The sequence below is a fragment of the Homo sapiens genome, chromosome X (assembly GCF_000001405.40).
Source record: "Homo sapiens chromosome X, GRCh38.p14 Primary Assembly".
In the NCBI taxonomy this organism is placed as follows: Eukaryota; Metazoa; Chordata; class Mammalia; order Primates; family Hominidae; genus Homo; species Homo sapiens.
The window spans coordinates 72,479,340-72,501,518 of NC_000023.11; the positions used below are offsets into that span (position 1 = coordinate 72,479,340).

At 38.0% G+C, this 22,179-nt stretch overlaps 1 protein-coding gene across 20 annotated transcripts in view; it reads right to left on the bottom strand.

Moving 5' to 3' along the window:
* Window positions 1–22,179, bottom strand: part of HDAC8 (histone deacetylase 8) — a 243,328-nt gene that overhangs the window by 149,824 nt on the left and 71,325 nt on the right. For 10 of the 20 annotated variants that reach the window (NR_199815.1, NR_051952.2, NR_199812.1 and 7 more), the window contains 3 exons: window positions 15,817–15,929; window positions 11,590–11,667; window positions 9,594–9,702 (listed from right to left, as the gene is read on the bottom strand). The exons of 2 other annotated variants lie outside the window; for them this stretch is intronic. Coding sequence is in view for 13 of the 18 variants with exons in the window: in NM_001166418.2 (NP_001159890.1) it covers window positions 9,594–9,702; window positions 11,590–11,667; window positions 15,817–15,929 (300 nt within the window). In the remaining 5 variants the exon portion in view is untranslated. Of the gene's footprint in view, window positions 1–9,593; window positions 9,703–11,589; window positions 11,668–14,856; window positions 15,043–15,816; window positions 15,930–22,179 lie in introns of those variants that run through there. 8 more of the 20 variants (XM_047442255.1, XM_017029644.3, NM_001410727.1 and 5 more) reach the window with 3 other exon arrangements.

The window sequence follows — 22,179 nt, forward strand, 5'->3', positions numbered from 1 at the left end:
TTTGATGTTAGAATATCCTATGAAGCCCAGATTATAGTCAAGTCTGGGGTTCTTTTCAGAGCAGAGTTATGTTAAAGGGTGTAATTTTCAAGATTTCCATTTAGGAGCAAGGTCTTCCTGTCTCTGGAGAGCTTCAGAACATGTTCTAGCATCAGAACTTATTCAACTGCTGCCAAAGAATCAGGTCACTTGCTCCAGGAGGCAGGGATCAGTCAGCATAACAAGAGACCAGAGAAGAGGCACATCAGAGAAACAGCACAAACCTACAGAATTCCAGAAGACTGTCTTCCTTGATACAAATGAAACAATATACCTATGAAGACTTGTTTACTCAGGGTGGGAGGGACTGTCATGATGGCAGGGCTACTTCGTGCAGTTCAGCAAACAGTCATAAAAGACATCAGTTGAGAGAGGAAGGAGAATATAAGAACTGTCCCTCTAACCACCTGGATTTAAAGCCCTAAGGATTAGGTGAGAGAAAACACCGGTTCGCCACTGCAACCCTAAACAAATCCTGAGGACAGGCAGGGTGAGTTCACTGACTGAGGTTTCAGGATAACTCAGTGAAGCACAGTATCTCCCTCTTCCTAATTATCCTACATTCTGACACACTTAGTGCCTCTTGAATTTAATATTTTAAAAGACACATCAAAGTAGGAACAATAAATGAATGGCTCACTTTGGCCTCATTTCCACCTGTGGCTAATATTAACAGTAACTTTAATTAGTGTCTGAGTCATCCATTTTCCAGAACAACAGGTAATTTTACATCTGCCATACCCCGGAGAGGCAGGATAAAAGTTTATTAAATAGAACAAAAGCATTTAACACAAATACCTTACTTACAGAGGGCTGAGTTCAAAGTGCAAGGCTTATAGAATGAATTAGCAGCTTCTGTTACCTTAATCACTGGGCGACAGTGAGCTAGTGATTATCAAGGTAGTGTAGCTGTGACCCAACTGAAGAGAGGTAGAATAAGTTTGTAAAGAATTTTTTATCAGTTCTTAGATTGTAATGAAATGGGGAATGTATTAGCTTGTGCTCATGCTGCTGTAAAGTCAGGAAACAACAGATGCTGGTGAGGCTGTGCAGAAGTAGAAATGCTTTTACACTGTTGGTGGGAGTGTAAATTAGTTCAACCATTGTGGAAGACAGTGTTGCGATTCCTCAAGGATCTACCAGAAATACCATCTGACCCAGCAATCCCATTACTGGGTATATACCCAAAGGAATATAAGTCATTCTACTATAAAGACACATGCACATGTATGTTTATTGCAGCACTATTTACAATAGCAGACTTGGAACCAACCCAAATGCCCATCAATGATAGACTGGATAAAGAAAATGTGGCATATATATACCATGGAATACTATGCAGCCATAAAAATGAAAGAGTTCATGTCCTTTGCAGGGACATGGATGAAGCTGGAAGCCATCATTCTCAGAAAACTAACACTGGAACAGAAAACCAAACACTGCATGTTCTTCCTCATAAGTGAGAGCTGAACAATGAGAACACATGGACACAGGGAGGGGAAACTCACACACTGGGGCTTGTCAGGGGGTGGGGAGCCAGGGGAGGGAGAGCCTTAGGACAAATACCTAATGCATATGGGGCTTAAAACCTAGATGATGGGTTGATAGGTGCAGCAAACCACCATGGCACATATATAACTATGTAACAAACCTGCACGTTCTGCACATATATCCTAGAACTTAAAGTAAAAAAAAAAAAGACTAGGTAATTTATAGAGGTTCTGCAGGGCTGGGGAAGCCTCAGGAAACTTACAATCATGGCAGAAGGGGAAGCAAAGATGTCCTTCTTCACATGGCGGCAGGAGGAAGGGCAGAGTGAAGGGGGGAAAGCCCCTTATAAAACTATCAGATCTCATGAGAACTCACTATCATGAGAACAGCATGAGGGAATTGCCCCTATGATCTAATCACCTCCCATGATTCCCTCCCCCAAAACGTGGGGATTACAATTTGGATTACAATTCAAGATGAGATTTGGGTGGGGACACAAAGCTAGACCATATCAGGGATGAAGATGGAAGGCTAAATAATTACTTGTTCTCACATGCAAATTTCTAGAGGGTTCATCCCTTCTCATCAAATGAAAGAGAATTTTAAAAAATTTGTATCGCTTAAAATAGTTATTTATGAATATGTGTGTGTATGCATTGCTTTTGCCACATCACCAGGCCTAAAGGAGTAAATTACACTTTTTCGGCTCTCTTTCACTGAAGATCTACCTGCTTCCTTTTTTTTTTGTTGTTGAGACAGAGTCTCACTCTGTCATACAAGCTAGAGTACAGTGGCACAATTTCAGCTCACTGCAACCTCTATCTCCCAGGTTCAAGTGATTCTCCTGCCTCAGCCTCCTAAGTAGCTGGGATTATAGGTGCGCACCTATAATCCCACACCTAGCTAATTTTTGTACTTTTAGTAGAGACGGGGTTTTATTATGTTGGCCAGGCTGGTCTTGAACCCCTAGCCTCAATCAATCTGCTCACCTTGGCCTCCCAAAGTGCTGGGATTACAGCTGTGAGCCACCTGTGCCCAGCCCTACCTGCTTCTAAAATTGAATGATAACCTGGAGTCCCAGGTGGAAGATAAATTCTAGATGACTTATTATAATGAAAGAAAAACCTATCATAATTAAAACATCTCTTCTTTAAATATTAACAGTAAGTCAATAGTGAAAGGAAACACTTCCCTTAAATGCCCTTTAGTGATGTCCCTTGGTCCTCATTTTATTCAACTGGTACTGGTTGAACAGCTTAGCATGGATGGAGAATCTCTACCCTTTATGCAGATATGGCCTTCCACAAGGACCAAGAGGTGGTATAAATTTTGCCTATAGTTTAAAAATGCATGATGTTAAAAATTTTTAGCTATACTCATCTAAAACAACCACATGAAAAAGATGTAATTCCATGAGAAGACCTCTGTAAAATGACAGGGGACACTATTCACTTTCTAAAGTAGGAAGTCAGGATTTTCTCCATTGAAAATGAAGGGAAAGGTGGTTTTACAGAATCTGCATGTTTACAAACTTTAGGAATTGAAAACCTAAGAAGTTAATTCTGGCAATATTTATCCTTGTTTTCTATCTATAAAATTACAAATTAAATCCTTGAGATTAAACAATTCTTTTTTGGGCAAAAATCTAAGTTGCACTTACACAAACAAATACAATGGATTGCATATACTGTGGATCATGTGGTTCATTTGCATAGTTAAATGGTTTCTATTTTGGGGGGGGGGATTTTCTGCAATCCCCTGAGATAAAGTTTTCCAAGAAGTCCCAGGGATGGTGTTTTTTAATTTGTTTGCAACCATTAAGTTTCTCACTTCCATGTGACAACTTTGGGGACAATATAGTCAATAGTTAAGAGGCAGACAGACGTGGGTTCAAACACAGGCTTCACCATTTACTAATTGTGAGACCTTAAGCAAGTCAATCTTTTCTCCAGTTTTCTCATATCTCATGAGAAATCAGAACATATTACAATTCCCACTGTAAAATGGCAATACTAATAGCTACTTTAGTAGGTATTATAGATTGCGGCAGGGATCAAATGAAGCAATGTAAATGTTTAGTGTAATTACTGGCACAGGCAAGGGTTCCCTTAGAGTTAAGCTCCAGGGTGCAGGAGCCTCATCTGCCTCATTTGCAAGTACCAGTCATAGAGGAGACAATACATTTTTTGGCCAAATGAATGAATAAAATGCTTTTATTATACTTAAAGATACACACACAAGAATGCATGTCAAATGTTAAGCACAGCATCAGGCAAACAATAAACTATGTAGCTTGGTAGCTCCTTCCCCAACTCTCCTTCTTGTGGTTAATGTTTTTAAAACCCTATTGATATAGTTTGAATGTGTGTCCTTTCCAAATCTCATGTTGAAATGTGATCCCCAATGTTGGAGGTAGGGCGTGGTGGAAGGTATTAGGGTCTTGGAGGTGGATCCTTCATGAATGACTTGGTGCTGTCCTCATGGTAATGAGTTAATTCTCACTTTATGAGTTAATAAGAGCTGGTTGTTAAAAGAACCTGGAACTTCCTCCTTTTTCTCTTGCTCCCTCTTGTGTGATATGCTGACTCCCCCTTTGCCCTCCATCACGACTGTAAACTTCCTGAGGCCTCACCAGAAGCTGAGCAGATGCTGGCACCATGCTTTTACAGTCCGCAGAACTGTGAGCCAAATTAACCTCTTATTATTTATAAATAACTGTCACAGGTATTCCTTTATAACAATGCAAAACAGACTAACACACCTTATAAAGTGACTTGAGGTGCTCAACTCTTTTGTAGGAAGGTCAGAGTGGCTTCAGAGAGCTGAATTTTGGCCCCAGACCCCAGGAATTGATCCTATGCCTAAAATACCACTGACATATATTTCAGAAGCAATGACAGAGTCTAAGAAAAATTATCATGCCATAAACATATAATATAAAGATACTATAATTTTTTTCTTCTTTGTTGGGTATCAGTGGGGCTCAGTATAGATAGACAAAAAGATTCTACCCAGGAATAAAAACTTAGGCTTTAATGAGCTATTCCTTTAATGACTCTGCTGTTGTCCTAGAGAGCAAATCCTTTCTGGGTAGGCTACTTGGGTAAGGCTGTTAACAGCAGAACTAATGTTCCAGAAAAGTAGTTAAAGAGCTATAAAATAAATATTTAAAATAGAAAAGTGTAATATTTCTCCCATAAAAGGAAAGAGGTACGAATCTTAAGTTGTTTATTCACTTCTGCAGTCTCTGAATTTTTTTTAAGTTAATAGTCTTTGATGGGGAAGAAAAGGTTTCTTTCAATTTTGAGCTATACAATATAAGCCATAGAACTCAAGGCAAATAGGCCAAGGACCAAATACAGGTAGGTTCTTATTTTAATGACTACTATTATGAACTCTGGTTCACTAGAGTAAGGCTATTTCTCTGGATGGGTTGGTAGCTCTAACTAGTGGAGTTTTGCCTATATGGATATAAACACTGCTACTGAATGAGAACTCCATTTTAATAGAATCTTTTATAAGTCCTATTTGTTGAGAAGTCTGTTTAACAATGTATCTTCCTTTTGGTGAAATTACTAAGCTGAATAGTTGAATATTCTTAAAAAAACATGATTGTTTTTCAAAACTTTGAACTGTCAACTTCACCCATACACATTATAAGCACTTCATATATGGTTTTCTTATGCGATATCTATTGATAATCAGATATTTAGTAAAGAAAACTTTCTGGCTGTTAGGGCTATAAAATGATAGGTAGGATGAGAATTAAGAAGTATTGGCACAATTCTAAATTTCTTCATTCGAACTTCACATATGTCATGGAAGTTCAGAGTGGACAAGTAGTTGGGTCATCCTGAAAGATTTGAGATTTCAGAATAGTGCCCTACTATTTATCAAAATCTCCCTTTAACCAACAGCAAGGTCATACTTGTTAGTGTCCTTTTCTCTCAGAATCCTTAACTATAAATGCTCCCAAAATTGTCAACACAGAGTTTTAGGTAATAGATTAAACATTATTAAGACTATCTCAGATTGCATTCAAATATATTATACTTAGAGAGCAAATGGGTTAAACATAGGCAGCGTAATATTTCCTGTCTCAGATGATAAAACTTGGGAATTAGCAAACCCTTCCTTTCGCAAAGCAGCCTCCCTTTCCCACCAACCTTCATGGGTATATGCGTGTGTGGCCCGGGGATGGGGTGGTGGTGGGGTCAGGTTTAGGCCTTCACATACATAAAAAATATAGTATACCTCTATCATCTCTATACTAGGACTATAGGCTTCCATTTGAAGGAGGAGGTATGCTTACCAGAGCAATGTTGATGATGTTCCTTTATGCTGGTTAAAACAGGGCTCTACTTGTGATACCAACTCTAGCAGCTCTCATGAAAATTATGGGAAGCTTTTGGGAATTAGTGGCCCTTGCCCTTAGAATTGAATGATCTAGGGAGATCTCACTGTGAAATCTGTCATTTATATAAAATGGAGCTTGAGATCTTTTGGTGTTAGGAAATGTTCATGTAAAGATTCCATATCTAGTCTATTACAAAAAAACTCTAAGCCAATTTTTAACTGAAGGGGGTATGTTCAAGCTTAAACTAAAACCATTAAGTTCCTGCCTGACTAGCTGGCAAAGTAAAAAAGGCTACAGCAGAGGAAAAAACCATTTTAGAAAGGAAAAGAGGAGGAAAGAAAGGGAGGAAGGGAAGAACAAAGGAAGAAAAGGAAGGAAAAGGAGAAAAGGAAAAGACAAGACAAGAAAAGGAAGGAAGGAAGAAAAGTAAAAGAAAGAAGAAAGAAAGAAGGAAAAGGAAAAAGGAGCAATTTATGAGCAAACTAGAAATTGGGTGGCAAATAAAAATGAGAGCATCTTATAAGTGAACCAGCAATAAGAGGTCCTTTACACATCACAAGTAAGGAGTGAGCCAGAGAACCAGTGGGGTCATGAAATAAAAAGGATGAAAAGGGGCTAGGCGTGGTGGCTCATGCCTGTAATCCCAGCACTTTGGGAGGCCGAGGTGGGTGGATCACGAGGTCAGGAGATCGAGACCATAGTGGCTAACACGGTGAAACCCCGTCTCTACTAAAAATACAAAAAAATTAGTCGGGTGTGGTGGCAGGCGCCTGTAGTCCCAGCTACTGGGGAGGCTGAGGCAGGAGAATGGCGTGAACCCGGAAGGCAGAGCTTGCAGTGAGCCTAGATCGCCGACAGAGTGAGACACCATCTCCAAAAAAATAAAAATAAATAAATAAAATAAAATAAAAGGATGAAAAGAAGATAGTAGATAAACTAAATGACTTTTTACAAAAAGATTAAGCCATTCCTCTGTGTAATATATCTTTTGAGGTAGGCAGAAGGGTCAGAGGTAACAATGGCAAATGTGTAAGAGACTGTTTCCAAGCCACATACCAGAAGTATTCAAAGGCATAATGCCTGGGACTGAGTGATCTAGTTACCAGGGCTGGCCCTCTGCAAAACTCTTGGCAAAGATCGCTGTGGTTTTTGGTACCCCTTTCCCTCTACTGCTCCACTAGGCAATTCCTGCTCCTCAGAATACTCAAGGAGCTCATGCTCTGACCCTTTCACAATTCATTCTCAAGAATGGCACTGTGAAGCTACACCTCATCTCTACTAAAAGTTTCTTTTTTTTAAATTAGCCAGATGTGGTATCGTGTGCCTGTTTGCCCCAGCTACTTGGGAAGCTGAAGCAAGGGGATCACTTGGATCCAGGAGGTCAAGGCTGCAGTGAGCTGTGATCATGCCATTGCACTCCAGCCTGGGCAACAGGGGAAGACCCTGTCCACAACCCCAAAAAAGAAAGGTTCTGTGAAACTATACTTCTATAGTACAGCAGGGGTGAGGATGAGAGGTTGTGCCAAAATTTCGTTTTAAGGACTATTTCTAATTGTAGAATAAAAGTATGTTTCCTGTTAAAGGAATTTCAGGTATTAATCCAACAGATAGGAGAGATGTTTGGGCCAGGAAGCCTCCTTGGTACCCTTGGAATCAGAGGTGCCTTCACATAATGCCCTGACCAGACTTGACTTCTGAAGGAAAGCAAAGAAAAAAAATTATTATACCTCTAATGAAAACCTGGAACCTGTTATTCTGGATGATCACTGTGTGGCTTGCATTGCCAATGTGGGTCCACAGGCAAAGGGGCCCTGGGAACTATAAACTGATGAGTGTCTGGTTCTTCAGTAGGCAAGCTGGAAGAATTTTTAATAAATGCTAGCCTCCTGTACACAAAAGCCATCAATCTATTGGGATGTGGGTGGCATCATGCTTTTTGTAAAGCGAAATCATGTGTAATCTTCTACAGATCTTTTCCTTGGGGCTAAACTTACTTTAAAAATGCTTCTGATTAGGTTTGATACCAAGGCTATTTTTAAACATGAATTACCATGGGATTTAAAATATTTTTTATCATGTAGTAGGAACTGGTCTACAGAAAAAAAAGAGAAAATATAGGGTAGAAACAGATATTTTTTCTGACTGAAGAAGGATAAATAGACTTCCTTGGGGGTGGGCACTGGAAAATCCTCAAGTCTACAGATAATACTCAGCTTTCCCAGGCAGTGAAATGCCAAGTTGATGGGAGATAAAGAAGATCTCAGGAGGTTTTATGATTGGCAGATAACCTTCAATAGGGGCACATGTAAAGTGATCCATTTAGGGCTTTGTAAGGGGTACATGTAAGGTGATCCATTTAGGGTGATCCATCTAGGGAGCACTAGATATTACAAACTATACTTGCTGGATGATGAGTGCTGACCTTTCAATTAAGACCCAGGAAAGGGCTCGAGGAGACACTGTGGACAGTGCACTGAAGAGAACAACCTAGTTTTCTGTTATGGTAAAAAAAAAAAAAAAAGGGTAACAAAATCAGGCACTGTTAAGAAAGGGATTAAAAGAAAAACAAAATAATTCTCCTTTTACATAGAACTGCAGGATATCTTTATTGGTAAAGTTACATAAGCAGCTCTGATCTGCACATCTCAAGGACAGAAGAGAGCTTAAGGGGAACAAAGAAGGGCAATTAAACCATTGATGGCAGGCTCCAAAAAAAAAAAAAAAAAGTTTTTTCAGCATGATAATACAGAGGTAGCCAGGAGACATGATCAAAATTATGAAGAGGCTTATGCTGCTGAATAACTGAATGATGACTTGGCTCACCAAATCTCTTGAGCTAAGAAGCACTTTTGAAGCATAAAGTTTTTATTTTTTAATAGTTCTGCTTTGTTTATACAACTGCCAGTGATGATGGCCAGTGCAGGCAGGCTTCTTTGGGAAGAACCTCCACCAGAGGTTGGGAGAAATACGAGCTAAGTTGGGGAGGGATCAAGAGTACCTCAATCCCCGTTACTTACCTTCAGTAATGTTGACTGGCTGACTTCTATTCGGATTTGCTTTCTCTGCCACCACTTGTGCCTGACCAATCTCAATTTTTATGAATATGAGTTTAACACAACCCCCCACCCCCATTCCATAAGGCTTTTCAACTCTAGTGGTCCACACATTGGCACCAATCTGTCTGTCTACGATTGTCTGTAACTTAATCCTTAGCCATGGTGTAGAAAGAACAGGTATCTGACTCCAATTTTAACACAGTGGATAGAAGGTAAGAATGCATGATGAATAATAATAGTCAATTCTCTAATATTTACACCAGTAGAAGAAAGCACAGGTCTCCATAATGAACCCTGACAACTGAAATGAACCCTGCCAGGTTAATGAAATAAGACACATGTAGGTTTATTTAGCTAAGAAAGTAGCAAATAAGGGATTCTTCAGGATAGCAAAAAAAGCTCTGCTCTTGGGATGGGCTTAATCATATTGAGTAAGATCCAACCTGGAGCATGGCTCTGGTCCAACTGCTTGGCTCTGCCATACAGCGGATAGCTACTGATCAAATAAGCATAATGACCAGTATACAAAAGCTTTATAGGTATATAGATGTTTTCTTTTTTACATTGTTCTTGTTTACATTGTGAGATGGGGGCCATTTCATCCTACAGAACTGCAATCCACTTATTACTGGCTAGTGTTACTGCCATACCTTTCACAGATCTGGTAATATTTTTCATCTTGTATGCCATCCTGAATGGGCACATTTACACTGTAGTACCGTCCCTTCCCTAGGCCAACATCAGACACGTCACCTGTTCCTATAAAAGAGAAGAGCACTATGATCAGTTATTAGGAACATGAGAACCCAGAAAACTTAAAGGATTTCCTGATAGGGAAATTTCTAGGGAAAGAAATTAAGAAAAATTATATAAAGAAGTAAGTATTGTAAACAATCTTGGAGAAGCAGGCAAATCATAAGGAAACTGAAAAACCTCAGTTTTCACCTTACTGGATCAAATGAAAAAATAAGAGATTAACTCCTTTGCTTGGCTTCATGCTTTTTAGGTTGACATAACATCAATTTATCACTGCAATTATTCAGGATGTTAGGAGTTGCATGGGGTGTCTACTAGTATAGTAAGCATAAGTGATCTGTTAACAGTCCATAAAAATCACCTGGAAAAAGAAACAGCTTTAATGTCATTCTTCTTGTTATTGTCACCTGAGGTGACCTGTGTTAAAATTTTGCACAGGACTGAGAAAAACAATCAATGGGGAAAGGATTCCCTATTTAATAAATGGTGCTGGGAAAACTGGCTAGCCATATGTAGAAAGCTGAAACTGGATCCCTTCCTTACACCTTATACAAAAATTAATTCAAGATGGATTAAAGACTTAAACGTTAGACCTAAAACCATAAAAACCCTAGAAGAAAACCTAGGCATCACCATTCAGGACATAGGCATGGGCAAGGACTTCATGTCTAAAACACCAAAAGCAATGGCAACAAAAGCCAAAATTGACAAATGGGATCTAATTAAACTAAAGAGCTTCTGTACAGCAAAAGAAACTACCATCAGAGTGAACAGGCAACCTATAGAATGGGAAAAAATTTTTGCAACCTACTCATCTGACAAAGGGCTAATATCCAGAATCTACAATGAACTCAAACAAATTTACAAGAAAAAAACAAACAACCCCATCAAAAAGTGGGCGAAGGACATGAACAGACTCTTCTCAAAAGAAGACATTTATGCAGCCAAAAAACACATGAAAAAACGCTCACCATCACTGGCCATCAGAGAAATGCAAATCAAAATCACAATGAGACACCATCTCACACCAGTTAGAATGGCGATCATTAAAAAGTCAGGAAACAACAGGTGCTGGAGAGGATGTGGACAAATAGGAACACTTTTACACTGTTGGTGGGACTGTAAACTAGATCAACCCTTGTGGAAGTCAGTGTGGCGATTCCTCAGGGATCTAGAACTAGAAATACCATTTGACCCAGCCATCCCATTACTGGGTATATACCCAAAGGACTATAAATCACGCTGCTATAAAGACACATGCATACGTATGTTTATTGCAGCACTATTCACAATAGCAAAGACTTGGAACCAACCCAAATGTCCAACAATGATAGACTGGATTAAGAAAATGTGGCACATATACACCATGGAATACTATGCAGCCATAAAAAAGGATGAGTTCATGTCCTTTGTAGGGACATGGATGAAATTGGAAATCATCATTCTCAGTAAACTATCGCGAGAACAGAAAACCAAACACCGCATATTCTCACTCATAGGTGGGAATTGAAAAATGAGAACACATGGACACAGGAAGGGGAACATCACACTCTGGGGACTGTTGCGGGGTGGGGGGAGGGGGGAGGGATAGCTTTAGGAGATATACCTAATGCTAAATGACGAGTTAATGGGTGCAGCACACCAGCATGGCACGTGTATACATATGTAACTAACCTGCACATTGTGCACATGTACCCTAAAACTTAAAGTATAATAAAAAAGAAATTTACAAAATTATCTCCTATCTGAATGAAAATGCAAAAAAAAAAATTTTGCATAGGATTGTGGCAGTAAGGCATTAACAGCATGGAACTGTCCAAGTATAAGAAATGTGTAGAAGAATTTCAGTATTTAGTCATCAAATGTAATACTGAGTTTATGATCACTTGCCTGGGAAAAATCCTGGGGAGAATTTGTGCAGGGACACGGTCATGACTTTGGAGGTGAAACTGAATGCGTCTTCTACACCTAACAGATAAAGAAACATCAAAAGAATCACTTCACATATGGCATTCCTATTTTCAACATCTGAAAATCTAGAAAGCAGCTGTGAGAAGGAGGGTAGATGAGAAGGCAGCAATATAAAACTAACAAGCTGAGGAATAAAAGTAATACGAACCTCTGGTCTCTAATCTCGTAATTACAAGATGAGGTAGAACTTTGGCCCCAAGTGAAGTTTGGGGGTTCCTTTTCAAACTCATGGAAAACTATAACTGGACTTCCCCTTTCCAAGCAATGGGATGTCTGGGCTCTCTTTGACAACCTGTTCTAAAAAGTAGGGAAAGGCGAGAGCCTAGAATTGAGGCATTATCAACAGAATTGAATAAGGGAAACTGGAACCATCTTACAAGTTGTATGTTTTGTCTTGTTTAAGTGGTTATAGTTAAAGTCTTGGGATTTTTTCCAAAGACGTACAACGTGATAACCCTTTGAAAAATATGACCAATAGAAACATTAGCCATTATATACCAAAAACCTAATTATAAAGTGCCTTTCTATAATGCAGATTTGGTTATAAATAAGTAACTTATAGTACATCTTTCTGGCTAAAACATGGAAGGCTGAAAACAGCCGTGACCTTGTCTCCTAATAGCAGCCTTATAAGAGTGTTTTAAAATCTGAAGAAAGATGGGCGAGAAAGGGGTCTGTTTTCCATTTTAACTTAGTGAGTAAACGATTAGAGGCCTGGGAGATAAAAGCTGGGATTTAAAGTAACCCTCACAAGCCTCTACGTATACAGGTAAACACACTGCCCACCTCCACCCCTTTCCTCTCAGAATCACATATAGTCACACTATGTTCAGATAATCAATCTGTAAAATGGGAGGACTATTAGCAAATTCAGGTACTGTCCTCTTTCTTACTTCAAACAAAGAAATTGTCTCTGTATTTATTTAATGTTTTCAGTCTTCACTACAGCCCCAACAGCGACTTTAAAAAAATATTAACTCTATTTATATATAACAGGTATGTTTGAATTTCCCAAGCCTTATGTTTGGCCCTAGGGAGGCAGTTAAATCCAGTTAAAGGCTCTAAGCAAAAAGCATGAAGTAAAAAAAATAAAACAAACAAAATAAATGAAAATAGTATTTCAACTTAGAAATGAAGTCTTAAACAAGGATAATTCATGAAAATCCTGATTATTGATCAATCCAGAAATGTTGTACCAATTTACACTTGGACCAATCATGTATGAGAGTTCCCAAACTATTGTTATTCTCTTTAATCTTAGGCAGAAAGAATGGTTTTGCTCTAATTTGCCTTTCTTTGAGTATTAGAGTGTTGAGCACCTTTTCATAAGTTTAGTGGCCATTTGTATTTCTTCTCATGGGAAATACCACTAGGCACAGTTATAAAATCATATTTAAAAAGGAGATGTACACAGATAGGAGGAAGCTATGGACTTGGTGGGAAAGAGGAGAGTAGTTAGGTAGATGAAAGAAGGCAAGGATGGGGTAGGGGTGGCTAGTGAAGCCACCACAGGATGCTAGTTATGTAATCATGGGAGATTTAAAATAAACCAAATGCATAAGTGTTGGGGGGTGGGGCAGGGGTCACTGTAAGGGAGGTGCTGAAGAGGGGAAATAAACTGAAATGAAACACACCATAAAAGTTGGCTAAAACAGGAAACTCTGAAGGGTGTAGAAATAACATTGCAAATGGAAAGAACACTTTCAGGTGACAGTTTCAGTTCATTCTTATGTGGTTCTGTAGAGTTGATTGTATTCTTAAACTCCGATACTAATAGTTTGAATTTCATAATCATTCATTGATCAAATATTTTAATGAGCCACTACTATATGCATAGTACTGTTGGTTCAAGGCATTATATAAAACAGGAAGAAGTAAACAACTTGATCTCTGCTCTGAAGGAACTTATAGTTTCTATGGGAAGAGAAGACACAGACACATTAAAAAATTAATTAGAAATACAAGGCAATATGTAATGAAATATCAAATTGGTGATATGAATAATACGGGACTTGAGAGGAGGGAGAGAACACTTGAGCTGGAGTGGTCAGGGCAAATCTGTTACTGTTGGAACTTGAACAAATGGGTAGACCTTGGGACAGGTGAAACAAAACTAAATTAGGAAAAAAGGAGGCAAAGTCAGGGAGGTGGGAATAATGAGACATGTCTGGGAATACTGAGCCATGTCATGAATAGTGAGACATGTCATGAATAGTTAGACATGCTCATTGAGTAGTGTAGCCTGGACAGCAAGTAATGAGAGATAAGGGTGGAAAGATGAGGTGAGACCTATTCAAGGTAGGCCTTGAAAGACTAGGTAAAGAGTGTGGACTACCTTGAAGACCACTGTTTTTCAAAGTGTGGCCTGTAGAACAGCTGAGGTATTAAAACGTAGTTTCTTTGGTTCCATGCCAGACCTACTAAATCTGAATATCTGGTGGATATGGCCCAGCAATCTGCATTTTAAAACAAACTTCTCCAGGTCATCCTGATGCACTTTCAAGTTTGAGAACCACTGCTGTAGGCCAGGGGTCAATGAACTAAGTGGCTAAATAGTAAACATTTTCGGCTTTGCAAACCACTCAAGGTCTCTATTGCACACGCACACACATATATACACACACACAGACACATTTTTAAAAAATATATTTTCTCTTTTATAACCCTTTAAAAATGGAAAAACCATTCTTATTTTATTTTTTTAAGAGACAATGGCTTGGTCTGTCGCCCAAGCTGGAGTGCAGTGGCACGATCATAATTCACTACAGCCTTGACCTCTTGGGTTCAAGCGATCCTCCTGCCTCAGCTTCCTAAGTAGCTAGGAATATAAGCACACAACACCAAACTCAGCTAATTTTTTTCGAGATGGGGGTTTCACTTTGTTGCCCAGGCTGGTCTCAAACTCATGGTTTCAAACAGTCCTCCCACTTCATCCTTCCAAAATATTGGGATCACAGGCATGAGCGACTGCACTTGGCTGGAAAAACCATTCTTAACCATTCTTAGCTTACTGGCCATACAAAAACAAGCCATAGGTCAAATGCTACCCCTTGTTATAGGCAATAAGGAGTCTCTGAAGGCTTTTGAGCAAGGCTATGTTTTGCACTGGTTGAGCATTCAGATATTCAGTGAAAATGGTTCTCAAAGTAGTATATTGGTGGTTTTAACCTCTCTTCTCTCTGTTACCTTTAATTTTCTGTCATCGTTCCATGGTAGCATCCATGCAGATGAAGCTCTCTGGAAAGGTTCCCTCAACAATTTCATCCTTCTTTCTCTGTTTTGGCAGTGGAGCTGACCCTAGCTTCAGACATATAATATTCTTTTCCTCTCTATGCCTTGATTATGTTAGTTTGTCTGAAAAAAAAAAAATCCCTGGAAACAGGGAAATGGCAATCATTGATGTGAGGGAGGAGTATTTTTAACTAAGAATTTACAGGATAAGTGTTCTTAAATAAATGGAAATACTACGTGTCCCAGAGAGGATTGCTTAAAGAAACAGAATGTGGCAACTGTCACTGGAGCTCTACATTCTAGATGGAAAATACATAGGAGGGTCGGATAAATCCTGTCAGTGGAGTCTTCTAAGAGAGGATTAATGGGTTAAGGCAAACTGCTAAGTGATTCTGCTATTAAATGTTAGGGAAGATGTCCTGTTTGTACGGCACTAAATATTTTAGCAATACAAAGAAAATGGCACAGATTCTGATCACTACACGAGTTGGCAACCTATTGGTGAAAAATTCAGAATGTTAGCCCATCATACGCCCATTCTATCTTGAGAAAAGCATCAATGAAAAGAGACAAGACTGTCATCCCTATAGATTCCCTTAGAATGAATGGAAATGACCTGAGGGAGGTTACTGAGCACTGGAGTAAACACTAGGTAAGATTTTCACTTCTTAACATTCTCTATTAGTTCTAGAGGCTTGCTACAGGAGGAGAGAGAAGAGGAAATTACAGGAGCCTGGCTTGGGCAGCAAAGCAGGAATTGCATCAATTAGAGGAATCACTACACTACCTACTTTAAATTCTCAATTAGGAAAATTTCAATTACAGCAGACATTTCTACCAGTTGCCTAGAAGCAGCTTAACTGATAAAAACCTGCTGTCCTCGCAGCAAAGCATCTTTAAAACCAAAGGGCTTACCATCTCCATGGTGCAGATCCAAATCCACGTAGAGAATACGCTCAAATTTCCGTCGCAATCGTAATATTCCCAGGACAGCATCATTGAGATAACAAAAACCAGATGCTTCATCTCTGTAAGAAAACAAGTTGCTACAGCCAACAGCCAAAAAGCAATCCAAGGGAGTCTTTACAGCCAAGGATCTAACCCTTGAGATCTAGTCCCCTAAAGTTCCCCCTTCTTTTAAGAAAAACAGAAATCCATCTACAAAGATTATAAGTAAATGACCCAGAATGATCAGGGAATGAAGTGTTTCAGTAAAGTAAATATTTGGGTAAATTGGTAATATTTTCCATTCATGATCCCAGATTTTCAAAGCATTAGAATATTATAACTATATTGAACAAGAGAGAACCACCTTTCCCTGGATTTAGGAATCACTTCAAAAAATTTGTATACCCTGGGGTCATCATGAGGAACACTGGTAATCACTTACAGGACTTTAAGAAAGCTAGAATCTAGAAGAGGCCTTAAAGACAATCTTGCTCAGCCAGATGTAGAAGATGTTAGAGATTGGATTCTCTGTACTGACCCTATGACACAAACTAGAATTTTTAAAAAGTTAGTTTTGCACTTGTTGCTCATAAAAGCTGAGTGTAGAATATACAAATGCATAATCTCCTGGGCAGTATAATGTGGTCGCCTGTCTGTAAATGCAATTATTACAACGAAGAGTGAAGCAGTCTTTTATAAAGTTATTTTGTTTTCTTCACTAAAATTCTCTTCATTGACTTCACTGGTGTCCTTTAACTTTTGTGCTATCAGTGATAATGCGTCACTTTAACCCCTTGTCAAGGTTAACCCGCTCTTTTACTACACTTCCATTAAGCCTTGCTGATTAGATGTCAAATAACATTCTTTATCATCAAGAGTGTATTTAAGTTATTTTTAAGGCCTCATCCTAAATGCTTAATTTATTTCACTTCCACAGAGACTTCAAATATCCAGCCCATTTTTTTCTGAGTTCTCCTTGAGATTGCCTAGGCATAAGCAACAGTTAAAATGGCATCTTTGCTACTATGAGACTGTAAAGCTCTTTGTAGTGCCTTCACAATGCATAAACTTCTTCATGAAATCTCTTCCATAATAACATTTCATATTCTAAATAATGCCCTGGTTCACAGGCTGAATCAATAAGACATGTACACTGGCAAGCAGAAGGTTGGTAAAAATATCTTTAGACACTGACTTTGCTTCATGATGGTGAACTCGGCAATCATCTAGCCAAAGAATAGCTTGGCCTTAGATATGCAACCAGGTAGAGACCAATTAAAGAAAAAGATTTCTCCATCTATGAATTCTCTTTAAATAAGAATTAAATGTGTGATTTTGGAAGTTCTTAGATGCAAATGCTATTTTCCAATTATGAAAAGCTTACATTTTGTAAGTTTACTGCCTTAGCACATTAAAAAAAGAGATAATTTGCTGACCTTCTGAACATCAATAACTTTTAGGTAGATGGGACGGAACACTAAGTGCTAGGCAAAAAGAGGAGAGAGATGTGGAGGAAGAGTACAAATCAATACAAGACATACTTCCTTTCCTCACAGAACTTACAATTAAATTGGGGAGATAAGGCATAAACACAGAAAAAAAAAAAAAAACCAATCATCCAAACAAAAAAGGCAACCAGAAATAATATGGCAGATAAAGGAGAATACAGAGAAAAGCTATAGACAAAATTGACAAAGTAGACTCTTCTCATTGACAACATTGAGATTTACCTGAGCCCTGTGCTTTTGCAAAAGCAGTGATGGTTAAGAAACCCTCCACCCTTTTGCGTTACGAGAAATGGCGAACTGCAAAGGACCACATTGCCCTGGCATATTCTAAGGAAAGACTCATCTCTCTCCTTCCTCAGCATGCCCATAAGACTGGTAGATGACTCCTTTATTTACCTGCCTCCATTAAGCAGGTGGCCCCCTTCCTTTTCTTTAAGATGTTCCTTACACTAATGAACATTCTCCTCATGGCAATAGCCTGAATAATAATAATGATGACGAAGATGATGTCTATCATTCAGAAAGGCCTTTATGTCTCATTGTATGAATTTGTAACATTTTTCTACCTCTGGATAGTATTACTAAATTAGATGATAAAATCTCTTAAAGGAGCTCTGTTCTCATTGGCTTATAGAAATAATAAGTGTTTAGATAAATAGAATATTCCTAAAATCCCCAGAAAATAAGGCAATTGAACGTTCAAGATTTTCAATATGCTAAAAAAAGTATTCCTATAAAAACAAACTCAAATACTTTAAGAATTCAAGTTCATATAATTTAGGTAAATCTTGGGCAAATGAGACTAACTTAGTAATTTTTGGCTTACTAAAACCAGCCATGTCTTTTCTGATTTATCAGTGTTGGGCATAATATACAGGTAGATTTTTTTTCTACTTGAGTATATTCTTCCTCAACATAGACAGGTTTACTGATTGAATGAGCTAACATTACTTCTCCTAAGTGTTTACGATTATAAAAAATGTAAATTTGTTTAACCAAGTTGAGTCGTTATTCTGACAAACTTTATTTCAACAGTAATTATGTTTTGCAGTATATCAACTTGAAGATAATTTATAAAATCTTTAGGTAACTAAAAACTTTGAGCTGATACTAAATTGAATTAATGAATATTCATTACATACCTAGACCATTTCTAAGTAAGAGAATGCTGAAATATTAATTACTACATATAATTTTGTATGCTTTTGCTTCTTATTTCTACATGCTGCAGAAAAGTTATGTATACTTGGGCCTGGTAATGAACATGCTATTTTTTGCCAATTAAAGAAGTTGTTATAAAGGATGCATATAGATATAGAAAGTTGTAGAGGGATCACAGAAAGGGAATTTTATTTGTTGAGGTGGCTGGCTAAGGTTTGATGAGTTGATTTACAATATTTCCAAAAAGAACTTTAGTATCAAATATTCTGATGCAAAGCTAGAATTTGGTTTCCTCACTGTTAAAATGGCAAAAAAAAAAAAAAAAAAGATTTGTTCTTTCACCTTATTGAAAGAGAAGTGCTAGAAAGAATTAGATTTATTCAATATATTACTATTGAGGAGTTGCATGGGAAGAGTTGTCAAATCAGAACAGATGCTTTGCTTTTTCTAGGTTAAATTGGTATAGGAAAATGTTATTAGCATAAACATTTTAGAAATTGTATGCTGTATGGAACGTTTCTACAGATTCATTAGTGCTCTCACTGGCCGAGATATGTCAGAATCCTGATGCTGCTTTGCTAGATATTAGATAACTATAGTATAGTGTTTTCAGTAATAATTTCAGCTTTTTAAAATGTTAACTTGGTCTCCACATTGCTTCTTTGTTTTGAATCTAGCATTTTTCCAGTCATTAGTTTTCAACTGGGGATTCACATCATTTACCTATGAAATTCTGTTAATATACACATGTTTAAGAACTATTCCAGATTACTGAATCTCTTTACTTGATGTTCTTGATATATTCTGGGTATATTCAACCTATATGCTTGGTATATTGATGATATATTATGTCAGGATTATTATATGTTATATCTGAGTCTTTTTTCTCTATAAAGATGATGTTCATGCATTTTTATAAATTACATATAATACCCTCTCTTCTTTGAAAATAGGATTTCTACAGTTTGGATATTTGGCCTTCCAAGCCTCATGTTGAAATTTGATCCCCAGTGTTGGAGGTGGGGCCTAGTGGGAAGTGTTGGGTCATGGGGGTGTATCCCTTACAAATGGCTTGGTTGTGATCTCACAGTAATGAGTGAGTTCTCACTCTATTAGTTACTGCTAGAGTTCCCCTGGGAGCTGGTTGTTAAAAAGAGCCTGACACCTTCTCCCTCTCTCTTGCTTCCTCTCTCACCATGTGATTTGCACATGTGGCTTCCCTTTACCTTCTGTCATAAGTGGAGGCAGCCTGAAGCCCTCACCAGAAGCAGATACTGGCACCATGCTTCTTGTACAGACTGAAGAGCTGTAAGCCAAATACCTCTTTTCTTTATAAATTACCCAGACTCAGGTATTCCTTTAAAAGAACACAGATGTACTAAGACAAGGGCTAATCATTATGTATATAGACATTTTTGTCTGGATCTGATAGACCTCTACAGAACTCTCCACCCAAAAACAACAAAATATACACTCTTCTCATTGCCACATAGCACTTACTCTAAAATCAACCACATAATTGGACATAAAGCAATCCCTAGCAAGCGCAAAATAACTGAAATCATACCACCAAATACACTCTTGGGACACAGCACAGTAAAAATAGAAGTCAAGACTGAGAAAATCACTCAAAGCCATGCAACAAAATAATTACATGGAAACTAAACAACATGCTCCTGAATAACTTTTGAGTAAATAATAAAATTAAGGCAAAAATCAAGAAGTTATTTGAAACTAATAAGAAAATAGATACAATACACCAGAATCTCTGGGAAGCAGCTAAGGCAGTGTTAAGAGGGAAACTCCTAGCACTAAATGCCCACATCAAAAAGGTAGAAAGATCTCAAATTAATAACTTAACATTGCAACTGAATTAGAGAAGCAAGAACAAATCAACCCCAAAGCTAGCATAAGACAAGCAAAATCAGAGCTGAACTGAAGGAAATTGAGACATGAAAAACCTTTCAAAAGATTGATGAATGCAAAAGTTAGATTTTTGAAAAAATTAATAAGATAGGCCGCTAGCTAGACTAATAAAGAAGAAAAGAAAGAAGATCCAAATAAACACAATTAGAAATGATGAAGGGAATGTTACCACTGGCCCCACAGAAGCAAAAATAACCAGCAGAATCTATGATGAACACTCTATGCACACAAACTAGAAAACCCAGAAGAGATGGATAAATTCCTGGACATATACACCCTCCTAAGACTGAACCAGGGAGAAACTGATACCCTAAACAGACCAATAATGAGCTCCAGAATTGAATCAGTAATAAATAGCTTTACCAACTAAAAAAAGCCTGGCACTTGATAGATTCACAGCCAAATTCTACCAGATGTATAAAGAAAGCTGGTAGTATTCCTACTGAAACTATTCCAAAAAATTTAGGAGGAGGGACTCTTCCTCGACTCATTCTATGAGAGCAGCATCATCCTGATACAAAAACCTGGCAGAGATACAACAAAAAAGAAAACATCAAGCCAATATCCTTGATGAATACTAATGCAAAAATCCTCAACAAAATAATTGCAAACCGAATCCAGCAACACAACAAAATGCTAATCCACCATGATCAAGTAGGCTTCATCTCTACGATGCAAGGTTGGCTCAATATATGCGAATCAATAAATGTGATTCATCACATAAACAGAACTAAAGACAAAAACTACATGATCATCTCAATAGACGCAGAAAAGGCTTTCAATAAAATTCAACACCCCTTCATGTTAAAAACTCTCAATAGGTATTGAAGGAACATATCTCAAAATAATAACAGCCATCTATAACAAACCCATAGCCAACATCATACTGAATGGGCAAAAGCTGGAAGCATTCCCCTTGAAAACTGGCACAAGACAAAGATGCTCTCTCTCACAACTCCTATTCAACATAGTATTGGAAGTCCCGGTCAGAGCAATCAGGTAAGAGAAAGAAATAATGGGCATCCAAATAGGAAGAGAGGAAGTCAAACTATGTCTGCAGATGACATGGTTCTATATCTAGAAAACCTCATAATCTCAGCCCAAAATCTCCTTCAGCTGATAAACAGCTTCAGCAAAGTTTCAGGATACAAAATCAATGTACAAAAATCACTAGCATTCCTACATACCAACAATAGTCAACCCGAGAACCAAATCATGAAAGAACTTCCATTCACAATTGACACAAAAAGAATAAAATACCTAGGAATACAGCTTACCAGGGAGGTGAAAGATCTCTATAAAGAGAATTACAAAACACTGCTCAAATAAATCAGAGAAGACACAAACAAATGGAAAAACATCCCATGCTCATGGATAGGAGGAATCAATATAATTAAAATGGCCATACTGCTCAAGGCAACTTACAGATTCAATGCTATACCTATCAAAATACATGTGACATTCTTCACAGAACTAGAAAAAACTATTTTAAAATTCATATGGAACCAAAAAAGAGCCCAAATGGCCAAGACAATCCTAAGCAAAAAGAACAAAGCTTGAAGCATCATGTTACCCAACTTTGAACTACACTACAGGCTGACAGTAACCAAAACAGCATGGTACTGGTACAAAAACAGATACATAGACCAATGGAACAGAATAGAGAGCCCAGAAATAAGGCTGCACACCTATCACCATCTGATCTTCAACAAAGCTGACAAGAGCAAGCAATGGG